This window comes from Homo sapiens, chromosome 9 (genome assembly GCF_000001405.40).
Source record: "Homo sapiens chromosome 9, GRCh38.p14 Primary Assembly".
NCBI lineage: Eukaryota > Metazoa > Chordata > Mammalia > Primates > Hominidae > Homo > Homo sapiens.
Genome location: NC_000009.12, coordinates 12,797,676 through 12,825,652, shown reverse-complemented (window position 1 = coordinate 12,825,652; position 27,977 = coordinate 12,797,676). Strand labels below are relative to the sequence as shown.

At 36.5% G+C, this 27,977-nt stretch overlaps 1 protein-coding gene and 1 long non-coding RNA gene across 2 annotated transcripts in view, besides 1 other annotated feature; one reads left to right on the top strand and one right to left on the bottom strand.

The window, feature by feature from the left end:
- Positions 1 to 2,592: 2,592 nt before the first annotated feature.
- Positions 2,593 to 27,977, bottom strand: part of LURAP1L (leucine rich adaptor protein 1 like) — a 48,041-nt gene continuing 22,656 nt past the window's right edge. Inside the window, exon 2 of the mRNA NM_203403.2 lies at positions 2,593 to 4,267. Within this exon, the coding sequence (NP_981948.1) occupies positions 3,893 to 4,267 (375 nt within the window). The 3' untranslated portion in view covers positions 2,593 to 3,892. The remainder of the gene's footprint in view (positions 4,268 to 27,977) is intronic.
- Positions 10,452 to 11,651: an enhancer, noted in NCBI's record as "P300/CBP strongly-dependent group 1 enhancer chr9:12814001-12815200 (GRCh37/hg19 assembly coordinates)". NCBI's record gives its function as "activates an origin of replication core promoter dependent on BRD2, BRD4, P300/CBP, MED14 and CDK7 cofactors, with strong dependence on P300/CBP, by STARR-seq in HCT116 cells {active_cell/tissue: HCT116}" and the evidence as "EXISTENCE:reporter gene assay evidence [ECO:0000049][PMID:35650434]".
- LURAP1L-AS1 (LURAP1L antisense RNA 1) overlaps positions 11,264 to 27,977 on the top strand; it is a 114,391-nt gene continuing 97,677 nt past the window's right edge. Inside the window, exon 1 of the long non-coding RNA NR_125775.1 lies at positions 11,264 to 11,360. This is a non-coding gene — a long non-coding RNA (LURAP1L antisense RNA 1). The remainder of the gene's footprint in view (positions 11,361 to 27,977) is intronic.

Below are 27,977 nucleotides of genomic sequence, written 5' to 3'. Positions count from 1 at the left end.
AGGATTGAGATGCTTGTCAGACATCAAATAGAGATGCTGCAGGGGCAGGTGGACATGGGAGGCTGGAGTACAGGGGACAGATTGGGGCTAGACACATACATTTAGAAATCTCAGCACATAGATGGCATTCAAAACTGTGAAACCGAATAGATTCCCCAGGGGAGAAATTTTGGAAGAGAATTGAGCCCAAGTACACTCTTGCCTTTGGAGGTCAGAAAAAATGAAGAGAAACCAGCAGTGGAGTCTGCAAACATGCAGGCATTGGGGAATGAAGGGAAAGTCTTGTCTTGGAAGAAAAATGAAGACATTCTTTCAAAAAGGAGTGATCAAATATGTCAACTGCTGTGAGATCAGTAAGATGAGGAGCTTGAAATAATCATTTATTTTGTTTTCCTTTATTTAATGTGTATTTATTTTTATTAGAGACAGGGTCTTGCTTTGTTGCTCAGGGTGGACTCAGACTCCTGGGCCCAAGTAATCCTTCCATCTCAGCTTCCTGAGTAGCTGAGACAACAGGCATGTGCCACTATGCTAGGCTTAATAATCATTTGTTGGTTGTCAGGACGGCTCATGCCTGTAATCCCAGCAGTTTGGGAGGCAGAGGTGGAAGGATTACTTGAGTCCAGGAGTTTGAGACCAGCCTCAGCAACATAGTGAAACCCCATCTTTACAAAAAATAAAAAATTAACCAGGTATGTTGGTGCATGCTTGTGGTCCCAGCTACTCTAGAGGCTGAGGCAGAAGGATTGCTTGAACCCTGGAGTTGGAGGCTGTAGTGAGCCATGATGGTGCCACTGTATTCTTCCTGGTGACACAGCGATACCTTGTCTCAACAAAACAAAACAAAATAAAAAAATATTTATTTTGTCATCATGGAGGTGATTGTGTTTCTTTTTTGTGTGTTTTTTTTTTTGAGACGGAGTCTCACTCTGTTGCCCAGGCTGGAGTGCAGTGGCCTGATCTCGGCTCACTGCAAGCTCCACCTCCCGGGTTCACACCATTCTCCTGCCTCAGCCTCCCAAGTAGCTGGGACTACAGGAGCCTGCCACCACACCTGGCTAATTTTTTTTGTATTTTTAGTAGAGACGGGGTTTCACTGTGTTAGCCAGGATGGTCTTGATCTCCTGACCTTGTGATCCGCCCACCTCGGCCTCCCAAAGTGTATGTGTTTTTATGAAGTTGTGGAAACAAATGCCTGAATGCAATTATTTGTGGGCTCCAAGTACCTTTATAGTCCACCCACAGTAAATAATGTTTTTTGCATTTCCAAACATTGACGAATACTTAAAACTTTACACTATGTACTTTGGGGCTGGCTGGTAGTATAAACATTGTTTCCTTGAAGTTTAGTTAAGACTCCTAGGTTGGTCTTCTAGAGTTCCTTTATTTGCAAAACTCCAAAAATGTACTAGTTTTAACTTGTCTAAATTCCTTACATCTAATTATTTTCCATCCATTAAAAGACTAACAAGTCCATAAAAATTGAGAGATTAATGTAACTCAGGAAAATTCCATCTTCTCTGGGAAGACACAACTCAGTGTAGGCAGAATAGTTTAAAAAATACTATAACTTTTTACCCCTTTTCCTTCTGGTGCTGACAGAGATCAAATATCAAATGGTCCAGGTCAGAGATTAGTTATGGGGATTCTTCAGTTAAAAATGGTGCACTCCTATGCACTCACTCTCTTGAGACCAATGAATATGTTAACAGTTAGTGTTGCTTAAATGTTTATTGCCTTCCTTTTAGTAAAATCAATTATTAAAAAATTGTTGGCTTACATGTGATTCCATATATGTAAATGGTGGAATCTTTATTTGCTATCTTGCAAAAAATATTGGAATTAATGTAAAGCATATAAAATATTGAAACTCATAAAGCCAAAAACATTCTCAAGTGTTCTGCCAATGTTCATTATAGTTTCCTTAAAATACAATATATAAATGAAAACTATTCCAGACACTTCTCCCACATTATACTCTTGTGCTTTTTGCATTTCCTTTCTCCAGAGGGAAAATTTATAGAGGGCATGGGGTGGCCATATAGCAGGGGAAGCGGGTTGCACGAGAAGAATGTAACAGAAATTTACCAGATTGTATTCACGATCTGAAACTGATCTGAGAACAGAAATGGCCTTTCATGTGCATGGCTTGTTCAAGGCAAAGGGTAGGTTTTAAAGAAGTTAGAATTTGCCTTTGATGCCTCACACTCTTGCAGCCTGCCACTTCTTTGTAGTTGAGGATATTCTCCTTGCAAGGTTGTGGACATATGGTTACATATTTCATTATCTTCTGTTTGAAATTGGTTGGTTACATTTTTAATTTTTGTTATGAGCTTACATTTGCTTTCTCATTCCCATTTTATTATTTAACATCAATAATTACCAAAGAGGTTATTGAGTGTTATTGTTAGGAATAAGACAGATGCAAGTTTAAATCCTGGCTTTGACACTTACTGGGAGACTTGTCTCAGTGGCCTACCTTCTATGTGCCTCAATTTCCTCAAACATAGGATGATGACAGTCCTCACATTATGAGATTGTTGTGATGAGGATTATATCAAGCGACTTATGGGAAAAGATCAGTGCAAAATATAAGCCCTGATATATTTTAATTAGAAATTGAATAATACATGCCTTGGAAATAAACAATAATAAATTCAACATGTGTAGTAAATATATAATAACAAAGGAAATTTGGGTGAAACATTTCTCAGTTATAAGAAGGAAGATTTTTTGATTTGTATTATAGAGTGTTTAGTCCGGAAACATTTATCATTACAAAGAACAGCATGAAATCTTAATTAGATTCCCTCACTAGGAGTTATCAAGATAAAAGAAATGCAGAGGATTAATAACATTATATTTAAAGTAAATATCCACTGTCTATGTGCGTTAAATATTCCATTTCAGAAAACTTAGAGATTATTTATTTATACTAGGATGAATGTATATCATATTAGACTTCTTAAATGAATAACAATTCTGCTTTAGGGAAGCAGTAGTAGGATGCTGATAGTAGGCTATCGGGATATTTATCTGTCTTTCTATCCATCGGCTTGTATGCATCTAAGTATTTATACATCCTATCAGAATCACAAAATACATACAAGTAAATGCCAACAAAATCTCAAAATGCAATTAAATTTAGGACATTTTTGCCTTGAATGGCCTCCATACTTAATCTCAATTATTCCTTGAAATTTGGGAGAATAATACATTTTATTACACAAATAAACATATGATTTGAGTTAGAATCACTGATGACAAAATGTTAATCTAAAGTACCAACACAAGGGTGAGTTGGTTGAACAGAATGTGTATAGTTGGGGACTTTCAGATGATTGTCATGTGGGCGTGTGTGACTAACAGTATGGTTGATTATACACTAGAATGTTGTGGTCTAGAAATAATGCTTAATTTTGTTCCAAGCATTTTGTTCAACCTGATATGCAAACAGTAATATATCTCAATATCTTCTGGAAGATGAAACCTTAAGTCATTTAAGGACGCAAGCAGCAACATTAACTGTTATCAGACTTTGGTTTATTGTAAAATTTAGCAAAGTTTTTCTTGTAATCCCTGACCCATTGCTCTGAAAACAAAAGCAAAAACATAATTATTGCTTATTCTTTTCCCCCTACTTTGTTTGTGCTACTGTAAAAGAAGGGAGAAAATCATTGTAATAAATAAAAAATAGAGATGTAACAGAGAAAAATAAATCAGCTCAGATGAGAAGTATTAGGAGCAACAGCAATACCATTAAGCAGTTTCAAAATCAGCTTCTTTTAAAAAGGTCATCTTATTAAAATAAAAATCACACCAAAAATATAGCAGCGGAGAAGAAGGATAAATACAAGTTCATTGCACACCAGTCCCATGCAAAAAACTGTCACTAGCCAAAGCAGTAGTATTCAGAATCCAATTTAGGACGCTTGTGTAGTGCCTGTGAGTCCTCTATGAGGGAGCTGTCACTGAATTGGTCCAAGTCTGAAGGGGTCTGATGGCCTGGGACATCATCCGCCAACGTGTCCAGATAACTTCCCACGGAAATGCCATCCAGCCCATCACTGCCATCGTGTAGGCTGTTGTAGCTGCCACGTAAGGAGGTGCTCTGACTCTCCAACAAACTGCACAGGCTGCCACTGAGGCTGCTGCCTCTGCTGGTAATGGTGGCTTTTTCTTCGATCATCCACTTGATGGACTCGATGCTCTCATTGATTACAAGCAACTGGCGCATGAGCCTGACGTCTGTGGCTCTGAGGTTAACCTATGGACAAAGAGAGAAGAAAGATATTCCAGCCATTTTACACTCTCGAAAGGCCTCAAATTCATCTGGGGACTGTCTGCTGCAGTTCAGAATTTTAAATTCACAGAATAAAATATAAGTGGACTGGTTGTCAGGAACTTTTTGATAATTGCTGACTGATGGTAGGAGTTATAATAAAAAAAACTCACTTCCTGCCAGATGCATCAGGCTCCAAAAGGCACAATAAAACCCCTGCTGCATCCCTGACCCTAACCAAGTGGCCTGAACATATCATACTGAATGGCAGGTTCTCTACTACAAAATTTATTTTCTCTTTGGCCAGATTAAGTTTATTAATGTTTACGTTGGCGTATATACGTGGGTCCTGAGTCGTGGGGAGAAAAGGAAGGTGAACAAATTAAGGAGTCATCCTCAGCATCGTAGAAGCCTCTAAAAGCCTCTGATTATGGAGTGATAATGTGCCAAGCACCATCATAAAAGTTCAGCATTCATTAGCAAAATCTAATAACACTGTATGACAGGTATTATTATTTTTGTCTTCATTTTACACATGAAGAAAGATAAATCTATAGAAAAGAGTTAAGAGTACAAAAAAGACCTGTATTCTTTATGACTATATCAACATAGACAGTGCTGAATAATGCTTTTGCTTTTAAGAACCAAATTGCTCTAATATTCCCTGAATCCAAAGGATGGGTGATACACTAGGCTGATCCAATTTATGAGACGAAGTGTACAAATATTTCTGTATATCTGACTATTTGTTTCAGATATATCAGGGGCACCCCAATCAAAAGTGGGATACCAGATGTTGGGAAGGTCTGAGAATTCCCTTATGTGCCTTCTAGGTGTGTGGTCCTTTTTTTTTTTTGGGGGGGGGGGGGGGACGGAGTCTCGATCTGTCGTCCAGGCTGGAGTGCAGTGGCGGAATCTCGGCTCACTGCAAGCTCCGCCTCCTGAGTTCACGCCATTCTCCTGCCTCAGCCTCCCGAGTAGCTGGGACTACAGGCCCCCGCCACCACGCCCGGCTAATTTTTGTATTTTTAGTAGAGACGGAGTTTCACCATGTTGGCCAGGATGGTCTCAAACTCTTGACCGCGTGATCCGCCCGCCTCGGCCTCCCAAAGTGCTGGGATTACAGGCGTGAGCCACTGCTCCCGGCAGGTGTGTGGTCCTTCTGATAGCTCTAAGTTACTTCAGGGATATCTATCTCCACAGCCACAAAGCAGGGTCTCTTTGCAGGTCCCACAGTTTACTGTAAACATTTGCTAATATCAAGAGGTGGTGTTTGGGGAGGTGGTGCTGTAAGAACTCCCATGATTGTTCTGTTGGAACAGAAGAGATATGGCTCGAGTACAGAGCCTGGCAGGACCATGTTTGGCCACTAGAGGTCCTAGTCACATTCTCTATGGTTTGTTTGCTTGTTTGTTTTTTGAGACAGTCTCACTCTATTGCCCAGGCGGGAGTGCAGTGGCTCAATCTTGGCTCACTGCAACCTCCGCCTCCTGGGTTCAAATTATTCTCCTGCCTCAGCCTCCTGAGTAGCTGGGATTACAGGCACGCAACACCATGTCCAGCTAATTTTTAGTATTTTTAGTGGAGACAGGGTTTCACCATGCTGGCCAGGCTGGTCTTGAACTCCTGACCTCGTGATCTGCCCTCCTCAGCCTCCCAAAGTGCTGAGATTACAAGCGTGAGTCACCATGTCCGGCCTTCTCTATGGTTTAAAAACCGATTTCTGTCCCTCCAGTTGGGTTACTAACCCAAAAGTCTGGGTCATGCTAATTCTTTCTTTAGGATCCAGAGCTAATTCAGATTTATGTCAGTTTCTGGAATTATCAGACATTCATTCTTGGATGACTCAAACTGTAAGGAAGAAAAGAGCGAATTGTCCTCAAAAGTATTCATTTGTATTGTAAAAATATTTCTGTATGAGGAGTTAATCCATAACTGAAGAGGAACTTTGGATTGAGGGAACATGATGAATAAACATTAGGAGAGATGGAATTTCCATTAATAACTGCAAGAGATGCAAGATTGTACAGGTTTCAAAAGAATAAAAATATATCTATGAATACAAAAAACATAAAGTACAATTTAAAATCCATTAATTTTGCTGGAATACTGAAGTGACTTGAGTCACTTCATCTTCTCTGAACAAAGCACTAAAAATAAATTGCACAGGAAGTAACAAAGAAAATTACTTTTCACTGAGACGTTCATGAACAGAAGGATGTGAACTTAGCCTTGAGAAGCCCCTCTATTTGTTGGGGTGTCTCAATAACCTTGCAATGACTTTATGTTGAGGAAGGAGGTTTCTGACAGTCTTTATGTTTAAATTCCTCCGCACACCCTATGAGCCAGGAAGACAATGGTCAAGTTACAAGTAATATAACAAACATTTATAAATCACCAACAATTTGCCTAGGTCCACTGAGCAGCCCAGAAAAATCAATATGAGTCAAACTTTTGCAAAATCATTCAGCAGGCATCTGTAGCTGATAAAACATGCTGGCCCCTTATAAGCCATGGCAGAATATCAATCTGACCATTTCCCAATAGCCACCCAAATAAATCACGGCTGCATTTATTCACATCTCCACCCTCTCCCATGAAAATGTTCCAGCCCATTCCCAGCTCTGGGCATGCTCCTCTGTCATTCCCCATTCTTGAAAAACTTCACTCTCTTCCTCTCCAAATACTCCCCATTCTTCAAGTCATACTTCTCTCGTCAAGCACTACTTGAGGGCTCCAGCCTCCTCTGCTGGCCTGCTTCACCACTACCGTCCTGTTAGCTTATCTCCTAACATAGCTTAACTTTGTACTGTCATATACTGCCAATGATTGTCTTTTAGCAATTTCAACTAGGCTGTGAGCTCCTTAAAGAAAGAAGCCATGTCTCACATTTCTTCCTTATCTTAAGGTCTGTACTAAGCATTGCTTGATTTTTGGAAATAGTCATAATTGGTTGATTTTTGGAAATAGCCATAATTTTAGGAACTGTGAAAGTTTAGCTCTTAAGACAGTAGTAATACACGTTCCTAACAACTATGCCACCAGGGGTTAAAACATACTTAGAATACATTTTTTGTCAGCAATTTTTCTCTGACTTACACAGTGGCTGCATCAAGTACAAGTTTTTCAGTTTTATTAAGCAGTAAGAAGAAAAGAGGAGTGGACTATGAAGTAACAAAAGCTTCCTTTGACCATGAAATGACTTATTTAAATAAGAAAATCTTTTTTTTTTTTTTTTTTAGTGGAAGCAAAACATTCACAGGCCATTGAACTACTGTTGGGGAAAAAAACGACACAAGCAAGTCAGTTAGAACGTGTTGATCTGGTTGATAATGATTATAGATTCAACTATGTCTAACCCTGTGTCCTCCCGGGAGAGAGTAAACAGCTTCCCACCGTGGGAGCGCTGGGCACGTCAGTTCACACGCTGGCAGGTCCATTACCAGGAGCTCCAGGCACAGAGAGTCCTGGGCTGGCCCAGCTGCTGCACTCTGCTTTCTCCAAGCACCAAGGTGCAGTTATGCTACCGATGACCCTTGAAAGTATGAGCAATTCACCAAACAACTAAATCACAATGACTCTTCTGTCTCTAGTAGCTGCCCCGCCTTTCCTCACTGTTATTCATTTCAGTCTTAATGAAGTCTAGCCATCAATTAAAAATAGAGTAGCCTTGCCCTTGCAGCATGAAACTGTGTGGTTCCTTCTGTTGGAGTCTTATAAGGTCCCTCAACTTGACTCTGAGGATACTGAGAGTTGAGATCTCCTAAAGGTCTGAGTTTAAATGTCACCTCCTAGGAGAAACTGATTCCTGATCAATCATAATATGCAATACCCATGCCTTGATTAATATTACATTTCCATGTATATTTCCTTCATCATATTTATGACTAGTTGAAATCATAATCTTTCTAATGGATTTACTTATTATTTTCTCTTCCCCCCATGAGCATGGAAGCACCACAGAGTGCTTGGGTCTTGATCTTTCCTGGTCACCACTCTATGCCAAAACCTGGAAGAGTATCTCACACAAGTAGGTGCTGAATTAGTACCTGTCCAACATCTGAATAAGAAACTTTGCTTCAGATTGGATTGTCTGTTGGAATCTCGGGTTTTGCTGTGGGTCAGTAATATGTGACTTGAGAGGGAAAAAAAAAGTAGCTTCGGGAAAGAACATTTCAATATTGAAGCGTTCCCAGCAGATAATGCCTTCTATTCCTTCTCCAGATTCAAACACCGAGTAACTGGTGTGAGGTTATTCCTAGCTTAAATTTACAGAATATGAGATAGTATCTCTAAAAGGAAGTGGACTTCAAGGTGTAAGTCACACTCCAAACATTATTCTATTTGTTCAGAGGTGATAACCGATACTAGCACAGCATGGGTGTTCTGTAAACACTTGGCAAAATGAACTGAACAAAGGGAACAAACAACCAGGACATGTACCAAAAAACAACAACGACAAAAATAAGGTTTAGACTGATCGGTCCAAAGGTCCAAAGAGATGTGGATGTCCTTTCCTCTTTTCCTCTTCACTTCCCCTCCTCTACTCTGGTCCTTACAGTTTATGTCATATGGTTCAGCTTCCTACTTAGTCTCTCAGGCTTCAGGATTATGATGTCACAGGTCTCTGTATTTTAGGGAGAATGTTGAGATTTCATGTCATTTTTTTGACAGGTGATGAACTGAGTCTATGGTAGAACTTGAAATGAGGAATCTTGAAGGAGAAAATATTCTTAACAGCAAACTTTCCCAGATATCTTTTTTTCTTCTAGAGTGCCATTTAAAAATTGAAAGAATACAAAGGTTATGCATTGGCACAATGGAATCTAAGAAAAAAATGCAGTCGGAGTTTTGGTTGCTAACCAAGTTGACTTCTTTGTGGTGTTGTATGAGGAACATGGTACTGACTCCAATCTGCCACTGCCACTATCTTCCTATTTGACCTTTGGGGAAAGTGGCTTGGCATACAGGACCTCAGTTTCCTTATACATGAAGAAAAATCAGGAGATTTCATTCCGAGCTGCAGTGAACCATGGGACTCAGTGAAGGTGGTAAAGTAGTTCTGTGAACAAAGACTAATCTTACCCAATAAGAAGACTGAATTCAACTGAGGCATCCACCTAACATATCTGCTTTTCATACTGAGATTTCGTTTCAGATATTTAATAACGTCTTATAACATTTCAGGCATTTAATGTTTAATTTAATAGGAAGAGTCTACAGATCAGATAATCCCAGGATTTCCTTCCATTTCGACATATTCTCTGATATTTTGCCATTCCTGTGGCCATTTGATTACGAAATTGTTTACGTTATGAGAAAATTATTCAGGCTATAGAGGAGACAGAAGAATCAATTCTGCTGCTCAGTAACTCCAGCAAAAGATGTAGCTGGTAAAAACTCATGGCTAAGGCTAGAAGTTTGGGTTTGATGTTAATTTGAGGTACTTTATCAGAAATTTTGTCATAATAATTTTTGCTCTCACCATTTGGGTTTGAATAAAAATCATTTTTGTATTCCACTCCAAGACAAACGTGCATATCATCTTTAATATGTCTATATATTAACTGAAATGTGCACATGAGCTGCTGAATATATCTTCCAAATAGGGACATTTTTTGCCTTTCTGGAGCCTTGGATAGCATCATATACTCAGGTTTCTCATAAAGCCCTCCTCCATTATTGTTACCCTTTTATTTATGAATGTCAACTAGTCAGATAAAAGCAGGCCACCTCCTAGTTATACATTTGTATGGTAAAATCCACAATATTCAAGATGTAAATCCCAACCATCCTGCAAGCTGTAATATGAATTAGAAGGAAGAAGGACTTCTTTGCAAGTCCATAGTCACATACATTGAAGGAAGAAAGATTAGACTTGCTTTTTAATGTGATGCTCTAACCCTAGTTTCTCATTAGGAGAAACTAATCATCGTTCTCTCTGATTTGTAGTTGGTGGAAGAGAGTTTAGTTCTGTCAGGGCCTCTTTTCTATCCACATTTATTTTAGAATATATTTTTAAAAGTCTATATAAACTGAAGAGCTGTTTAAAAGCACTTGGAGTATTGTTTTTCCAGCAATTTATTCCAGTTTGTTTGCTTGTTCCTTTTGCATAAGCTCCTTGTGTTCAAATTTGCCCTCTCTCCAAATTCAGGACATCCTCAATTTGATGATCACAGAAGATTTTCTGCCTACCCATCCTTAAAATTTCCAGCAGTGTTTTCAATATCTATACTTATAAATCACTCCTCTGTTTTCTCAGAAGATCCATAAAAATATTATCATCTTTTTGCAGCCTGAGAAGACACTGTACAACATTTCCACTCACTGTTTTTGGTTTGGAATGCTTCAGGTGAAAAGCCTACAATTATGCAAAAGTCAGTGCTGTTCCTTCCACCAAAGCTTTCTTTCACTTTCTCAGTCAGTTCAAAATTTACAACAAAATTTGTTTCTAACTGGGCAACAGAGGATTCCCTTTCACATCAGTCAGCTTTGTCTTCCTCCATTTTTGTTGTTTATATGTGGAACTGAACAATAACTGAAACAGTTCACTCTTTTCCCAGAACGTTATAGAAAAGTAATTTCCCCAAGGACTAAATTACATACATAAAAATACTGTCATCAGCACAGTGGACTGATTGATGTTGTTTTGATAAAGTAGAAAGCTGTATCTGGTGTATTTGAAAGGAGCACATGTGACTCCTGTGAATCATAAGCATAAATTCCGGCCACCAGGCCTGCTCGTGAGATCTGTACAGTTTCTGCTGGTGAGTCATCTGATTGCCAAAGTAATACATGCAGCTTTTCAGTATGATTTCATCAGATTCTAGGTCCAATTGATACTTAGATGCCTGTGATGTCAATTCCTTTTCCATAATCTAATACAGTGAAAACTGTTTCCCTGAATATTTTCAACATGAATGTGCAAAGAGTAATTTAGGCTGATGCAATCGGCTATAAATCACCTGAGCCGAGATTCATTTAGAATGATCTAATGAAAACATGGACTCCCCATATTCACAGCAGAGAAGTTTTTCACATTGAACACAGACCAGAGAAGTGTTTCCACTAATTTATAGTAAGTATTGTGCATGTGTGTCTTTTCAATTTAGAACTTAAGATATTCTTTTCACATGGTAGACCAGGGCATGTTAATGTGCTCCTCCGTGATCTGTAGTGGCCACAGTTACATTGTAAGGGAAGGACACAGGGTAGTGTGCCAGTAAATGTTTAACAAGCAGCTTCCTGGGAAAAATAAACATGCACACACACACATGCATGCATATATACTACAAAATATAATACAAATTGTGCTGATATAGAAGATGTATAACACACACTTGACAGATAATAATAAAATATACAGCACTTTTTATTGTCAATTCCATATAACCAACTGATTTCAGAGAATGTTTTATTTATTCTTGCTGAACTGTTGTATGTATAGCAAACTATGGACGCAGTTCAAACAAAATGTCACAAATACAGTTAATCTCAATTGATAATTCATTCCTCAATAATTGTTATTGTTACACCTGATATGTGATCCACTGTTAAATTATTTTTCACTTAGTGAAAACTATATTAATTAAACTGAAATTTGTTTCAGCCTCAGCATGGGTTATGTTGGAATTTTACTGGTTCATCAATGATGTCAGCAATTTCTTCACTGAATTGAATAACAGTTTTCAAATACATGGAGAATATTTCCTTTTTTTGGCACTATTGGAAATGTAATAACTAGGGACATGCCACAAATTTCAATTTCAATCTGCAGTATTAAAATTTTCTCTATCACTTAAGTCTAGACAACCAATAAAATAAAAATCAAGTTCTGCTTTATAGTGTTTTTAAATTTCTGTAGCATAAATACTCCTACATGGCCAATTTGAATCTGTCTATAGAATGTCCTTAAACATAAACATGGGATTGATAAGAGATACTCGGTACTAGAGCATATACGGTATTTTCACCCTGTGAATAAAATAGATGTTTTAAAAACCTCAAAAAATCATGAAAGTAAAATGTAGTAAAATAATTAGGATGCCATGAATTTTGAGTATTTATTACCTTTGTTTTAAATTATAGGTTTATATAAATACTTAACTAGTAGGTTTATATAAATACTTTAAATTTTAATAATGTCTGTGATTGGCAACTAGTTCACAAAACTCCTGAAAATTTAACAAAAAGCTCACACATCTCAGTAGATATTAGCTTCAGTGTACCATTGAGGAGGTACGGAATGAAGGCTTTACTTAATTGATTGCATTTTGTAATAAGCAGATTAGAGACTTGCATTTTACCCCTTAGGGCTTTTATTTTTCTAGACGTAATTAAAATCTGAAGGTAATCTTATCTTTTCCATTGAATAAAATTTGAGATAGATGTAAAATATTTATACCAAAGTTTTTAGTGTCTTTTCTGGAAAGATTTCAAAAACTGAATATAAATGACTCAGCATTGTTGAGACATGAAATATACTGAAAAAGGGAATAAGCCAGGTATCTAAACTCAGTTGAACATTTATGCTTTTGTATTATAATAATTTTTGATGGCTATATTTCTAAAATAAGAGGCCACTGTTATAAACAGTAGGCTTTATAATGCAGAGTTGTTCAGCAATGCATTTGAAGATTGTTGAGGAGATAGGACTGTAATCTCTATTTTTACATGATTCCTGACATCTTTTCTACTCAAATGCTTTATCTTCTCTTTTAGTAATTTCTTGATACTATAATTAAATCTGTTTGCCGTGGATCTTATGCCCCATATTTCTTCTTCATTCTCCCAATTCTATTTCCTACACGCTATGTGCAGCCCAGTAGTGCTTTAGTAAACTTACTTTGTAAAATTTTTTGTAGGGGAGAACTGACTTGAAAAGAAAAGTGATCTCTGTATTTCTTACAAAGGCAACAGAGAGTGAGTAAAAATAAGTGAGGAAGCAATCTCTGCAACAGAATAAAATGGATGGGCGCTGCTCCTAGAGCAGAGATCTTCAACCTTGAATGTACCTATGGATCAAATCTTGTTAAAATTTAAATTTTGCTCACCAGTTTTATGATTCTGTACTTCTAACAAGTTCCCAGTTGTTACCAATTGTGGTAGGCAGTCTCAAAGATATCTCCCAATAACCACCCTCTTCTGGTATCTACATCCTTACGTAGTTCCCTATCCTGGTATCGGATGGGCCTATTGACTTATTTCTAAATAATAGACTATGGCAAAAATGATGAGGTGTCATTTCTGAGAAAAGGTTACAAAAAGATTGTGGCTTCTGCCTTGGGCACACTCTCTCAAATGCTTGCTCTGAATGAAGCCATCTACAATGCTGTGAACTGCCCCTTGTGAGATGCATAAAGTAAGGAACTGAGATCTCTGGACAACAGCTAGCAAGGACATAGACCTGTCGACTGCTACTGGCCATGTGATTGAGCTGGGAAGTGGATCCTCCCTGGATCGAGCCTTGAGATGACTGCAGCCTCATCAAGGCACCTTGATGGCAGATTTGTGAGAGACCCCGATCCAGGGGCCTTCACTTGATCTGTGCCCAGACTCCCTAATATAGAACTGTGAGATAATACATGTTTGCTGTTTTAAGTTGTTAAGATTTGGGATATTTGTTATGCAGCTTGAATAACTAATACACCAATGCTGTTGGTATATAGACCACACTTTAGCAAGGTCCTAGAGATCTTTCCACTTGTGGATAATTTTGTTGATAGACGCTGAATCACTGTCTGTGGCATGATACTTTACCAGTACATTGCTTTGTAGTTTGAATAAAAGGAACAAATAGAGTAAGTAGTTAAATACTTGTTAACAAAAACAAAAAATGTTCAAGGAAACTGAAGGTGATTATTGAAAGAGCCATTCGCATCTACAGGAGGACAGCTTTTCTTTCCCCTAAGAGAAATTGATTTCTTACCCTGAAGGAGAAATGACAGATGATTTATGTTTGATAATTAATGACAAAAATGATGCTTTCAACATATTTCACTTATAAATTATATCCCCTATAACCTGAGGGTCATGAAAGTAGGGTATACATTGATAAGATAATAGACTAAACTTAGATAATAACATTCAGATATAATTTAAAGAGCTTAAAATGCAGCGAGATTAACTAAACTGAAACTACTAAATTTTCAATATTGACAACTTTATTAAGTTGCAATCTTGCTTTTCAGAATTCCTCATTTAATTTCAAAATGTGCTTTGAGTTGGCCTCAGTAGGAGAAAAAGAGGAGGTGATTAGGATGGTAATAAAAGTTACTTAGGTTTATTGAGTTTCCTTCTAGGAGTTAATTCTTTTTCACAGGTTAACATTTTTTTTATAAAAGACCTGTACAATGGCCCTTTGCATAGGAAATATAATGAAGACTCAGATATTTTGCTGCAAATATTTATTTTCACCTGCTAATGATAATTTGGTAATATTTGAAATACTTTATGATGCTTAAGATCAGTTTTGTTTTGTTTTGTTTTTCATGTGGTGTCTAAACACTGACTAAATATTTTCATTTGGAAACTTTTGGGTGGGACTCTCCAGATGGGAGAGTTTCACTAGCTGTAAGTGGTGATCTGAAGAGCATCCAATAAGAGACACCTGACATATTCCAACATTCACTGATAATACATTAACTTTCCAATCTAGTGATTTATTCATTCTTAGCTTTTTAAAATGGCTTTAGGAATATTAATAATAGTATCTGCCATTTATCAAATGCTTCCTATGTACCCTGTACTTAGCTAGATGCCTTAAATATTAATTTATCTAATAAATATAGTGCCATTCTTAAAACAAATCGGTGAATAAGCTGATTATTATTCTCATTATGGTTCCAGTCTGATATGTGAAGGGCTAAGAAGTCATCACTCCCATCTTCATAACAAGAAAAAAAGCTGAACAAACTGGAAATCAACAACTATGCTTAGGTTCATCAGAAAACTGAGGTCATTGGCTAAATTGCAGCCCTGGAAGACAGACACATGGATACAGAGAATCATAGCTTAACAGGAACAGAAAACTGGAAGCAGAAGGCCTTAGCTTTCTGTAGGAACACTAACTGTCATTGGTGAATTGCTGGAAGGTTAGTGTGGACTAGCTTGTGAGTTAAAAAATCCAAAGGGACCCAGTCTCAGGGGCACCCCGCACTTTCATGAGTTTTACCTCCAGGAAACCTACCAGGTTCTCAATATCCCCTGTGCTTCTGGCAGGGAGAGGAAAGCTCTGAAATACATCCAGACCTCTCTGATCTCCTTAAAAAAGCTTGTCCCTAAGGGAATCTATTTTACCAGAACCTAACAGGCTGGAGTTTTACCAAAGCCTGATCAACAAAATATCCAACTCAGGCTCGCTAAAAGACTGAGACTTAATTATGGACAGGAGAACACTTCCTCTTCTCCCACACCTTGCGACCACATCAATAAGGCTATTGTATAATAACAGGGGATTACAGCAAAAAGAACTGCAGGCCTCTGACCATATTTAAAGAGTGCCAAAGGAAACCCAAAGACAATAGAGTAGACAAAAGCAAGGATACTAGAGGAAATTTTAGTCTCTGACACTATAGCTACAGCAAATAGTAAGCAGAATCTAACTCCTAGTCACATAAATATAAAACCTTGCACTAAAGACCTATCTATCACAGTTCCTTTTATATCATATCCAGCCTTCAACAAAGAATTACAAGCCACTCTAAAAGGCAAAAACAAAGTCTGAAGAGACAAAGCAAGCATCAGAACCAGACTCAAGTGTGGCACAGATTTGGGAACTATCAGACAAGGAATTTAAAACAACTATGATTAATACGCCAATGGTTCTAATGGAAAAAGTGGACAGTGCAAGAACAAGTGAGTAATAAAAGCAGAGAGATGAAAGTGCAAAGAAGGAAACAAATGAAAATGCAAGAAATCAAAAACACTGTAACATAAATAATGCCTTTGATGGGCTCATAAGTAGATTGGACATAGCTGAGGAAAGAATCAGTGAGCTTAAAGATGAGTCCACAGAAACTCCCCAAACTGAAATGCAAAAAGAAAAAAGAAATAAAAAGTCAGAACAGAGTATCTAAGAACTGTGGGCTATTAGAAAAGGTATATGATACAGTTTAGATGTTCTGCCCCCTCCAAATTTCATGTTGAAATGTGATCCCCAATGCTAGAGGTGGGGCCTGGTAGGAGGTGTTTCGGTCATGGGGGCAGATGCATCAGGGATGGCTTAGTGCCCTCCTCATGATAATGAATGAGTTATCATTCTACGTTCATGTGAGTCCTGGTTGTTTAAAAGAATGTGGTATCTCGTCACTTTCCCTCTCTCAGCATGTGATATGCTAGCTGCCCTTTCCTTCTGCCATGATTGTAAGCTTCCTGAGGACCTAACCAGAAGTAGATGGTGGCACCTTGCTTCCTGTACAGCCTGCAGAACCATGGGCCAAAATGAATCTGTTTTCTTTATACATTAACCAGTCTCAGGTATTCCTTTATAGCAATGCAAATGGACTGACACAGAATAACACATGTATAATGGGAATACTGGAAGGAGGAGAGAAAAAGGAACAGAAGCAACATTTAAAGCAACAATTACTGAGAATGTCCCAAAATGAATGACAGACACAAAGCTACAGATCTGCAAAACTCAGAGAACATCTAGGAGGATAAATACCAAAAAACCTATATCTAGGCATATTATATTCGAATTATAGAAAATCTTTTTTAAAAGCTAGAGGAAAAAGAACACCTTACCTACAGTTGCACAAGTATAAGATTTACACCAAACTTATACTCAGAAACCATATAAGCAAGAAGAGTGTGGAGTAAAATATTTATCCCGTCTTAAAAAAAAAGACTACTAACCTAAAATTCTGTATCCAACAGAATTATCCTTCAAAAGTGAAGAAGTTTGGGAAAAATAAAAAAGTTCTGGGGGTGGATGGTGGTGATAGTGGTACAACAATGTGAATGTACTTAATGCCACTGAACTATACACTTAAAAGTGGTTAAAATAGTATATTTTATGTTATATATATTTTGCCACAATTTTTTAAAGTGAAGTAGTAAATACTAAAGACTTTCTGAGACCAACAAAAATGGAGAAAATTTGTCACCAGTAGACTTGCCTTGCAAGTAATATTTTAAAAAGTTCTTCAGAGAGAAGAAAAATATATCGGCAGAAACTCAGATCTGTATTAAAAAAAATGGAAGAGCATTAGGAAAGAAAAAAAGAAGGTAAAATATTAAATTTTTCTTATTATTTATTGATCTAACAGAACAGTTTGTTCAAAATAACAATGACAATGCATTCAGTGATTATAGCTTATTTGTGAATGAAATGAATGATAGTCATTTTATAAGAGACAAGAGAGAAGAATTGGGAATACTGTTTTATATAGTACTTGTACTACCATGATGTGGTATAATATTACTTAAAAGTGCACTTAGATTGGTTGTAAACATATTCTAAAAACTCTAGGGCAACCACTAAAAATCGTACTTAAAAAAGAAGTATAATTAATATGCCAAGAGAAGAAAAAGTAGAATCATATAAATTGCCTAATTAAAACCAGAGAAGTGGAAGACAAAAAAGCAAAGAAAAGAGAGAAAGAAAAAAGTAAGAATGAATGAGCAAACAAAGGAAAGAAATAGAAAATATGTACAAATATGATCGCTATTAATCCAACTATATCAATCACTTTAAATGTGAATAGTCTAAATACATCAATTAAAAGACAAAGACTGTCAAAGTGGATAAACAAACAAGACCCAATTATAACTTGTCTACTAGAAACCCACCTTAAATATAAAGTTACAGATTAATTTCACTATGCAGGTGAAGGAAAATGAGACTCAGAGGACTAAGGCATCATATTCTTGCAGATTTTAAGTGGCAGAGCCAGAATCAGACTGAAGTTTAGTTAACTACATAGTCTCTAGTCTCTCCTTCAAACTGTGTTGCCTGGAAAGGGTCTTTATATTTCATGCTGTGAGAAACAGATAATCTCTTCCAAAGTTTACTCGTAATACATCAGATTACCCTGGCCAATTCTCTTTTTCAGTCTCATTTTATTTATTTAGTTAGTTAGTTAGTCAGTTAGTTAGTTTTTGAGATGGAGTCTCGCTCTGTCGCCCAGGCTGGAGTGCAGTGGCACGATCTCAGCTCACTGCAAGCTGCGCCTCCCGGGTTCATGCCATTCTCCTGCTTCAGCTCCCGAGTAGCTGGGACTACAGGCGCCTGCCACCACGCCCGGCTAATATATATATATATATATATATATTTTAGTAGAGACAGGGCTTCGCCGTGTTAGCCAAGATGGTTTAGTCTCATTTTTTTTTTTTTTTTTTTTTTTTTGAGACGGAGTCTGGCTCTGTCGCCCAGGCTGGAGTGCAGTGGCGCGATGGTTTAGACTCATTTTTAAAAGACTTTAGTTGTTCAGAAGAGTAGAGTGATATAGTTGAATAGTGGCAAAAGAACTAACTGAGGGGCAAAAAGAGGCTATTAACAGTTATTGAGAGACTGTATGTACATGACATTCTCCTAGACCCTGGTAGAGCATAGCGACAACACTGTCACCTCAAATGAAGAACATTACAATCTAGAAATGGAAATCTCAACACCTTATTTTTTTTCTAGGCCTACTAGAAAAAATAAAAAAGTAAATTAGTATAATCCACTTTTACCAAAAATTTTCAAAATTTTCAAAATTCCTTGAGAATATTTATAGACTTCTAAAAGTAAAACATAAAATTGTTTTAGACAATTATCCAACATTTGAAAATAAAGCAAAGTTTGAATGTCTCTTCCATGATAAAATGGAGCATAGCCCAAGAAGCCATCAAAGCATTATTTAATTATCTATGTGGTTATAGTTTTGTGTGACCTACTGTTTACTACTGAATTGACCCAGCATTATGAAGCTGTAAATTGACTGGTAGATTTGTGTCTTGAAGAAATGCAAATTGCTTCTACCCAGAAAAGAAAAAAAAAAAGATAATCTCAAAGGTTATAGTTTTATTTTCCTACTGGATGTTTGATAATTTAATATGTATACTAGAAAACGAATTCATATGATTTTCCTGAGAAAATATACAACCTATACAACCTACACAGCCTACTCATCTAGTTCTCTTGAACCAGCTGTACCATCTTGCTGGTTCTCTCATTAAATAAGCTAAATCAATCTTTGACAAATGTTCCCTCTATATTTGTGTAAGAGTCATGTTTTCAACTTTTTAAAAAAATTATATTTTGACAGATTTGAAGGTTGCCCTAAAGGTGCATAGTGTGTTCACCTGCTAGAGCTAGTTAAGCAGAGTTGCCCAAGAAACTCCTGGGGTGAATCACAAACAGCAATAGAATTTTCCCTTTCGGACTGTCAGATTTGTCTTCTGATTCTGTTTTTCTTTTCTTTTCTTTTTTTCTGGTTTGTTTCATTGTCGCTCCTGATCTTGGCCAGGAAGTTCCACATTTGTTTAACTTATTGTCTAGGATTATGTCCATTTTCACAACTGCTACTGGATCACAAGGTTGGGCTTAATTATGTAATCAAGAGAACCCTCATGTATAAAACAGGTGTATAAAACAGCCGATTCCAGAGACTAGTAGGTACTGAATAACTAGGTGAGTAGAGGTCACATAATCTATAAAATGTTCCCCCTTTGGAATGACAATAATTAGCAATCTGGTTTTATGACAAGATCACTTGGTAACCTATATTAGGATGATGAGAATATATTCTTTGTTGAGTGGTAGAAGACAGAGAATATGGTTAGTTGTTCCATATTTTTTGTGTGTCTATTTGTCTGCTTAAATCCATAAAGAAAACATTCATTTTTCACTGAAAAGGAGAATAACCATTGAGACTGTGTGTCTTTTGCTTGAGGTTGTGGAACTGAATTTCAAGTCCTGTAGGTGGTTGTGTATTTAACTGAGAAAAAAACCTTTCACCACTATTTACCATATTTAGTATTCATATATGCATATAACTATTTATCATAATAAGAATATGAAGTCTTTTCTTCTAGGATATACCAATAAATTAAATTACAATGTGTCTTCAGTAAAAACAGCTTTTTCTAATATTAGAGTCTATTAAATACTTGTACAAATTTAATAGTCCCAGAATTCTCATAAAATAAAGAAACTGATCTCTAATATAATGAATGTTCTAGTCTTTTAAGGAAAAATAAATTTCCAGATAAAAATGCTGCCTCAGAAGCATTGTTAGTATGTAAGAATCAAGATGAATCTTTAGATATATATTGGTTTGGTAATTTTAGTTTACAAAATTTTCCTTGTTTTGTCATTACGAAAAATAAACATCATTTAACTTAATTTTTTTAATTTATATTTCTTTTCTAATGAAGACATTAGTTAATCTTAAATTTGGTTACAACTTATGGCTTATATGGGTGGTCACGGTAAATGAATGAGCATGTTTGTGTTCCAATAAAAGTATTTACAAAAACAGGTGGGCTGGATTTAGGTAGTGAGTCGCCAGAGTCCCAACCTGACAAGTATGAAAAAAGAAAAAAAGGTACTTCCTGGTTAATTTAACTCGGACTACCTTTCCTAATGAATTATTTGACTTCTGTTTCTTCCTTTAACCATCTTTTCATCCTGATGATTTCCTTCATTGAGCCAAATAAACGTTAAGCATATGCTTGTTTTATATTTCTATATTTTTACTATTTAAAAAAAAATTTTTTTGATAGAATCAAATAACAGAGGACCAGGCATGGTGGCTCACACCTGTAATCCGAATACTTTTGGAGGCCGAGGCAAGCGGATCACCTCAGGTCAGGAATTCGAGACCAGCCTGGCCAACATAGTGAAACTCCATTTCGACTAAAAACACAAAAATTAGCCAGGAGTGGTGGTGCATACCTGTAATCCCACCTACTGGGAAGCCTTAGGTAAGAGAATCACGAACCTGGGAGGCAGAGGTTGCAGTGAGCCGAGACCATGCCACTGCACTCCAGCCTGGCTGACACAGCGAGACTTTGTCTCAAAAAAAAAAAAAAAATCAGATAACAAAATAACAGAGCCACATACAAAAATCTTATTAGAACTGATGCAAATGTAGATGGGGCCAATACGGTATAGACTATGCAGATGATACAAAAGAGCTTAAAACTATGATTCTGCTGTGACAAAAGTTTCCATCAAATATGTGTCCCTAAGCCTTCAACTCCTTTTTAGTCATTATTTATCCACTTCTTGTCATTGATTAATGAGAATAAAAGCCACCCTATTGCACAGGAAAAAAATCATACACTGAATTTATTAAATACATAATTTAATGCAAATATGATTAAATAAACTTTGTCTTTTCAGTGTGAATCACAATGAATTCTATGAGGAAATAATAGATTTGCTCTTTATTTTTAATAGGTTTCTGTCTCAGATGGTATGCAATTCAGCATATACCAAGTATTGAATATTGTGATGATGCAGGGCTAATAATTTCATGTAGCTGTTTACATTTTATTTTCCACAAATACCTTAATGATATCTCTGGCACCACAGGATATCAATGACTAAATTTTTATGCTTTATCTCTAGTCTGTAGAAATTAAAGTGTTTAAGTTGTCCTTTGGCATGCTACTGTTTTGAACAATTAAAGTGTTTGATCTAGTTTAAATGATGTTACATTTATTAAGACACACTTGCCTAAAATATCAATTTCCTTTTCTAATTTAGTATTCTCCTAGAATTTTACTCTAATTAATGTAGACAATTTTACCTGGACATGTGAGAGTTTGCTCTCCTTTGAATGTGATGTAATTTATCATGTTTATATGTACACTGATCCTTTTCCAGCAGAAATAACTTAAAAAGATATTTAAAACAGAGATAACAGGTGTTTTGTATTTATTTACACCTATGATGTCCTGTGACTTAACTACCCATTGGCAGTATCATTTAGTGGGAATAGCGAAGAAAGCTAAAACTTTGGTTTTAGTCTTGGTTCCACCAGTAACTTAACCTGTACTATAACAAGTATCTAATCTTCCCATGTCCCCATTCTCCTGTCTGTTAGATAAGAATATTGAGGATCATCTTCAAAATTCCTTTCAGCCTGAAAATGTCTTGGTTCTCTGATACAGCATGTTAGAAGTGATAGGAAATTTTTCAAGATATAGGAAAAACAAACACATTAGTGACAATGAAATATAAAGACAAGTGACAAAGAGGTGGTAAGCATGAACACTTCCAGTGCAGTGGTTCTATCCTACCCAATAATCCTAGTTTCTAAAGTGGCACATGGAAAAGCAATAAACATATGCTGAATGAAGAAATCGATGAGAGAGGAAGAACAGGTACAGACAGTATGTGGTAATGCAGCAGAGAGTAAGTATGGATTCATTTTTCTTAGGAAAAGAAGACATCTGTCAGTCAGATGGGTATGGGTGATCCATGCCAAGAAGGACATTCCAGTTTGAATCTGGAATGAGAGAAATAAGCAAAGGCTCAGAGATGAAAATGTTCATTTTGTGCTAATAAAGTGACAAGACAACCAGGGGAGCAGGTGTTGGTAGAGGAAAAGCGGAAAGGTAATTTGGAGGCATTCATGGAGGATCTGGAATATTGAGCAAAGATAACCCCGAGAGATGCCGTGACAGTTCATTCCATAGACAAGCTCAACACATTATCCTAAACAGAGGCACTTGACAGGAGTTTTAACCCACTTCTGTGCTGCAGGTTACTGAGTGCATTAGTCTGCTCTCATGTTGCTATAAAGAAATTCCAGGGACTGGGTAATTTGTAAAGAAAAGTGGTTTAATTGGATCATGGTTCCGAAGGCTGCACAGGAAGCTGAAGCTGGTATCTGCTCAGCTTCTGGAGAGGCCTCAGGAAACTTTCTGTCATGGAGGAAGGCAAAAGGAGAGCTAGCATTTCACGTGGCCAGAGCAGAAGGAAGAGAGTGGGGGATGTGTCACATACTTTTAAAGACCAGATCTCAGGAGAACTCACTAATCCAATGACAGCATCAAGGAGAGTGATGTGAAACCATGAGGAATCACCACCATGATTCTATCCCCTCCCACCAGGCCCAACCTCCACCACTGGGGATGAATACAGAACATGAGACTTGGGTGGGGACACAGATCCAAACCATATCACTGATTTTGAGCTGCCCTCAAAATAGCTTAGAGGCTTTATTAGCATCTCAGGCCTATTCTTTAGTGTGGGTAAAATGTACTAATAACAACAAAGGAAGTTACAGAAAAATTAATTTGGGCTGTGTAGGGAAATTAGATAAAACTACAGCTTAGACTGACACCAGGCCAACTTTATTATGTATATCTCCTTCTGGAATGGAGGCTAACTCTTCTAGTACTCAAACAACCATTTCATTCTCCTGAATCCAGAGTGACAGATTCACTCTCAGAAGGAAATGGACTGGGAATTCAGAAAGAGTTAATTTGTATATGTGAATCATGGATGCTTTCCATTTTTCAATCAGAGGAAATGAAGTGCTTTTCAAATATATGACCCAGAAAAACTCAGAGGGCTTGATCTCCTATTTCCTCCCTATAAACCCAGTATTACAGTTGTTAAAATTCCCATGACAAATATGTTCTTCCTCTTGTGTTTTGAGTTATTCTCCCTTTTTGGAACATTCTTAAATTTCCCTGAAGTCTGTGTTTATGCCCTTTAAAAAGAATGAATATAAAAGAAGTTTGTCACATGACTTTCAGATGCAATAAAACTCATTCCCAAGTTTAATTCCTAAACATACTGTTTTAAATTTATCATTTGTCCATTTAAAAATGTTTTTAAAGCAATATTTTCTTTTTAAATTGTAGTCTTACAGCAGTTTAATGAAATTGATCTAATAAAAACTTATTAAAGTAATAGATGGTTTGAGAATCATGTTTCCCTTTAGAAAATACACACTTACATGCATATATGTACATACTACATATATACATAGCCTGGAGCTCCATAATAAGGAACTGGGGTATGGATTCCTAAGATGTACTTCTCTAATTCCTCATTCACAACTTCACCATGAGCGAGTTTCTTAACAGCTTTAGCCATCTTTAATATACTTAACCACATTTAACATAATATCCTAATGCTAGGCTTCTTTGGAGAGATGCGGCTAAGCTCCATTAGTTATAGCTTGTGGAGAGGTTGGATGCTCTTGGATGAATGGTGCCATGTGAAATTGCAATATAATTGCTACAATTAAGAGGCCACATTCTCTGCTTATACAACTCACTGGGAAATTATTTTTGCACCAAAGGTAATAATTTTTATCTTTATCCTTATGTAAAAGCCCTAAATATTTTCAATTGCTTTTATACCTAGGTATCATAATTAACATTATGCCTAGTCAAAATTAAATAGATCTTTCAGTTGAGCAAGTATAACCCTGAGAAATGCTGTGACAGTTCATTCCATAAAAAACTCGCCACATTATCCTAAACAGAAGCACTTGACAGGAGCTTTAACTCACTGCTGTGCTGCCGGTTACTAAGTGTATTAGTCTGTTCTCACATTACTATAAAGAAATACCTGAGACGGGGTAATTTATTTAAAAGAGTTTTGTTCAGCTCATGGTTCTGAAGGCTATATAGGAAGCATGATGCTGGCATCTGCTCAGCTTCTGAGGAGGCCTCAGGAAACTTAGAATCACGGCAGAAGGTGATGATTTGAGCTCATTAAGAGATACTATCATACAGACATTATTTCTTTTCTATTGTGGAAATTACTAGATTTTCAAATATTCAGATATTCTTGAATGATTCTTGCTCAGAAATTTAAATTCAACAAATGAGTAAGAGATTTTTTCTTTTTGATTCAATATGTTTTTTGTTTTTTTTTTGTTTTGTTGTTTTGCTAAACCCCTATGAACTTCCTGATATAATGAAGACAGTGTAGTAAATGGTATCCCAGTCAGTTGGACACCCTATAAAAAGACATGATTTGGATTTTGGATCTCAGATGACTGGGGTTGATATGTTATTCTTCTACTAATTAACTCTTGGATTTTTGTCAGTTGGATATGTTACTTAACATTTTCTCTATACCAATTTTCTAATCCAAAAAGTGGTATACATTATGTACATGACAAGGCAATGCAGTTGGGAAAACTGAATAAGATAACATATGCATGTAGCATAAAGCTTCACTAGACAGTGCTTAATAAAATTTAGTTATCTCCTCTACTTTTAAATTGACATAAATAGGTCAAAGGGTACAAAGTTGCAGCTCTGTTGGATAAATAGTTCTAGGAATCTAATGCACAGCATGAGGACTATAGTTAATAATATTGTATTGCATTCTGAAAATTTACTGAGAGTAGGTTTTAGGTGCTACTACCCCAAAAAGAGAATGTAAAAGTTAACTATGTGAGATAATATATATGTTAATTCATCTGACTGTAGTAACCAGTAACCATTTCCCTATGTATATCAAAACATTATGCTGTGTAAATAAATACATAGAATATATATCATAAAATGGCTTTTTTTTTTTTTTTTTTGAGACGGAGTCTCGCTCTGTCGCCCAGGCTGGAGTGCAGTGGCACGATCTCAGCTCACTGCAAGCTCCGCCTCCCAGGTTCACGCCATTCTCCTGCCTCAGCCTCCCAAGTAGCTGGGGCTACAGACGCCTGCCACCTGGCTAATTTTTGTATTTTTAGTAGAGATGAGGTTTCACCATGTTAGCCACAGTGGTCTCGATCTCCTGACCTCGTGATCCATCCACCTCGGCCTCCCAAAGTGCTGGGATTACAGGCGTGAGCCACCACACCCGGCCTAATTTTTTAAAATGTCTTCCACATTCAAGGATGTTGAAATATAATGTAATTAAGTAGGTTAATTAAACTGACAATTTGTTTTCAGTAATGATCTGGTTGTTCTCTTGTTCAAAATGATTATTTATATATGGTTTTAGCATACAAAACCTGCCCAATACACATTACCTAATTTTTATTTTAAAAAAGTTATTTCAATGTAAATATCACTGATATTATATGTATTACTCTGAAAAATTACATATGTGCATTGAAAACTGTGTCGATAAATGCATAAGTTATGATTTCCAAGCCACAGTGAAAATATACCCTAAAGACAGACAGAGGAATCAGAGATTTCTAGTGCTAAAAGAAACCATAGTTAATTTTGGAGTCAGAGTACTGCGTTCTATGATACATATGTGGACACAAGCTTGATGACTTGGCCAAAATTGTATCACCACTTAGTGCTAGAAATGGGACAAATATCTTGATGTTCTGATTCTAATTCCCTTTTTTCCGCAATACTAAATAATAGGAAAATATTTTTATTATGGTCTGGTCAGTGTAGAATTGGCCTTTCATATTCTATGAACATTTTCTGATGACAGTTTAGGACTGGATTAAAAAAAGAATAATCTTTCAAGAAAGAAGCAATTCTACAACTGAAGTTAAACAGAGACTGACCTGCATGAGCATTCATGAATGATTCTACCCTATTATATTGGATATTGTAGTCACTTGGGTGTAAAATCAACAAATATTTGCAAGCAAGGGTCACTCGCACATTTTGCTGATACAGAAATACAACCATAGAGGTGCTACAGTTACCTAAAAGTCATGCACTAATTCAAAAAAATATTTCTGATTTCTATTCCTATTGTCCTGTATTCCTTATATCTGATAATGACTATGGCCAGATTAAATAGTTTGCAAATAGCTGTTCTCTCCTACCACAGATTAGCATAAATTTGATGTTAATTCATCACTTCTAGCTTTGAAGGACCACAAATGAGGGTGATAAAAGCAGATGCCTAGCATATGGCAACAGATGGGTCACCACATTTAAGGAAAGCTACTGGGAATAGCTTGGTTTACTTTTCTCAGTTCTTACTACAAAAGGTGAAAAGAATGAAGAAGGAAACAATCTAGGCAATGCAGACTTAATTGACTCCTAATTGTCCTTCAGTTTTAAAATGTGCTATTAAAATATACAACTTGTAGTTTGCTAGTATGTTTCATGTCATAGTGTTGTCCATAGCCAGGTAGAAATATTCATAAAAAAGGAGTCAACCAACTATAGGTAGGATTGTACAGTACTCACTGGCAAAATATGTTTGCTGGTGGCCAGAATTATTGAAGCAGATGGCACATGATGAGCTCATCAGGACATGTCCAGACGCCCAGCTTTGTAATACCAAGTTTTATTATTCTTGCTCAGATGCTGCCCTATCCTAATATTACACTTAAAATTTTACCTATGAAGCATTTACAATTTTATACTAAATTATACATGCTTTTATTGTAAACTAGAAATAAAAATGATGCTTATGTTAAAACTTTGATTCAATACCCATAAAACACTGCAGAGATATCTTAAGATCAAATGCTTGCCCCATGAACTAGCATCTAAATTACCGTTCATTTTTAGGGAAAATTTCATTATCTATTTGAAGTTGGTTCCATAAATATAATTCATAAACTCAGAAGATAAAAAAGAAAACAAACAAAATGAATTTATGTTCAAATACACGTGAAACTAAATAATAGCTGGATTTTATTGGATATAACTGTTTGCCCTATAATTAGCAAAGAGAATGTCAAATTATATGTTTTCCCTTGGATATGAATTTGTTAAAAAAGCTCTGTTGGGTTTATTTGATATTTCTCTATTAAAGCAAGTATGTAATTCTTAAATAAAATCCTTAGAGAACTTTCTGAAGTTA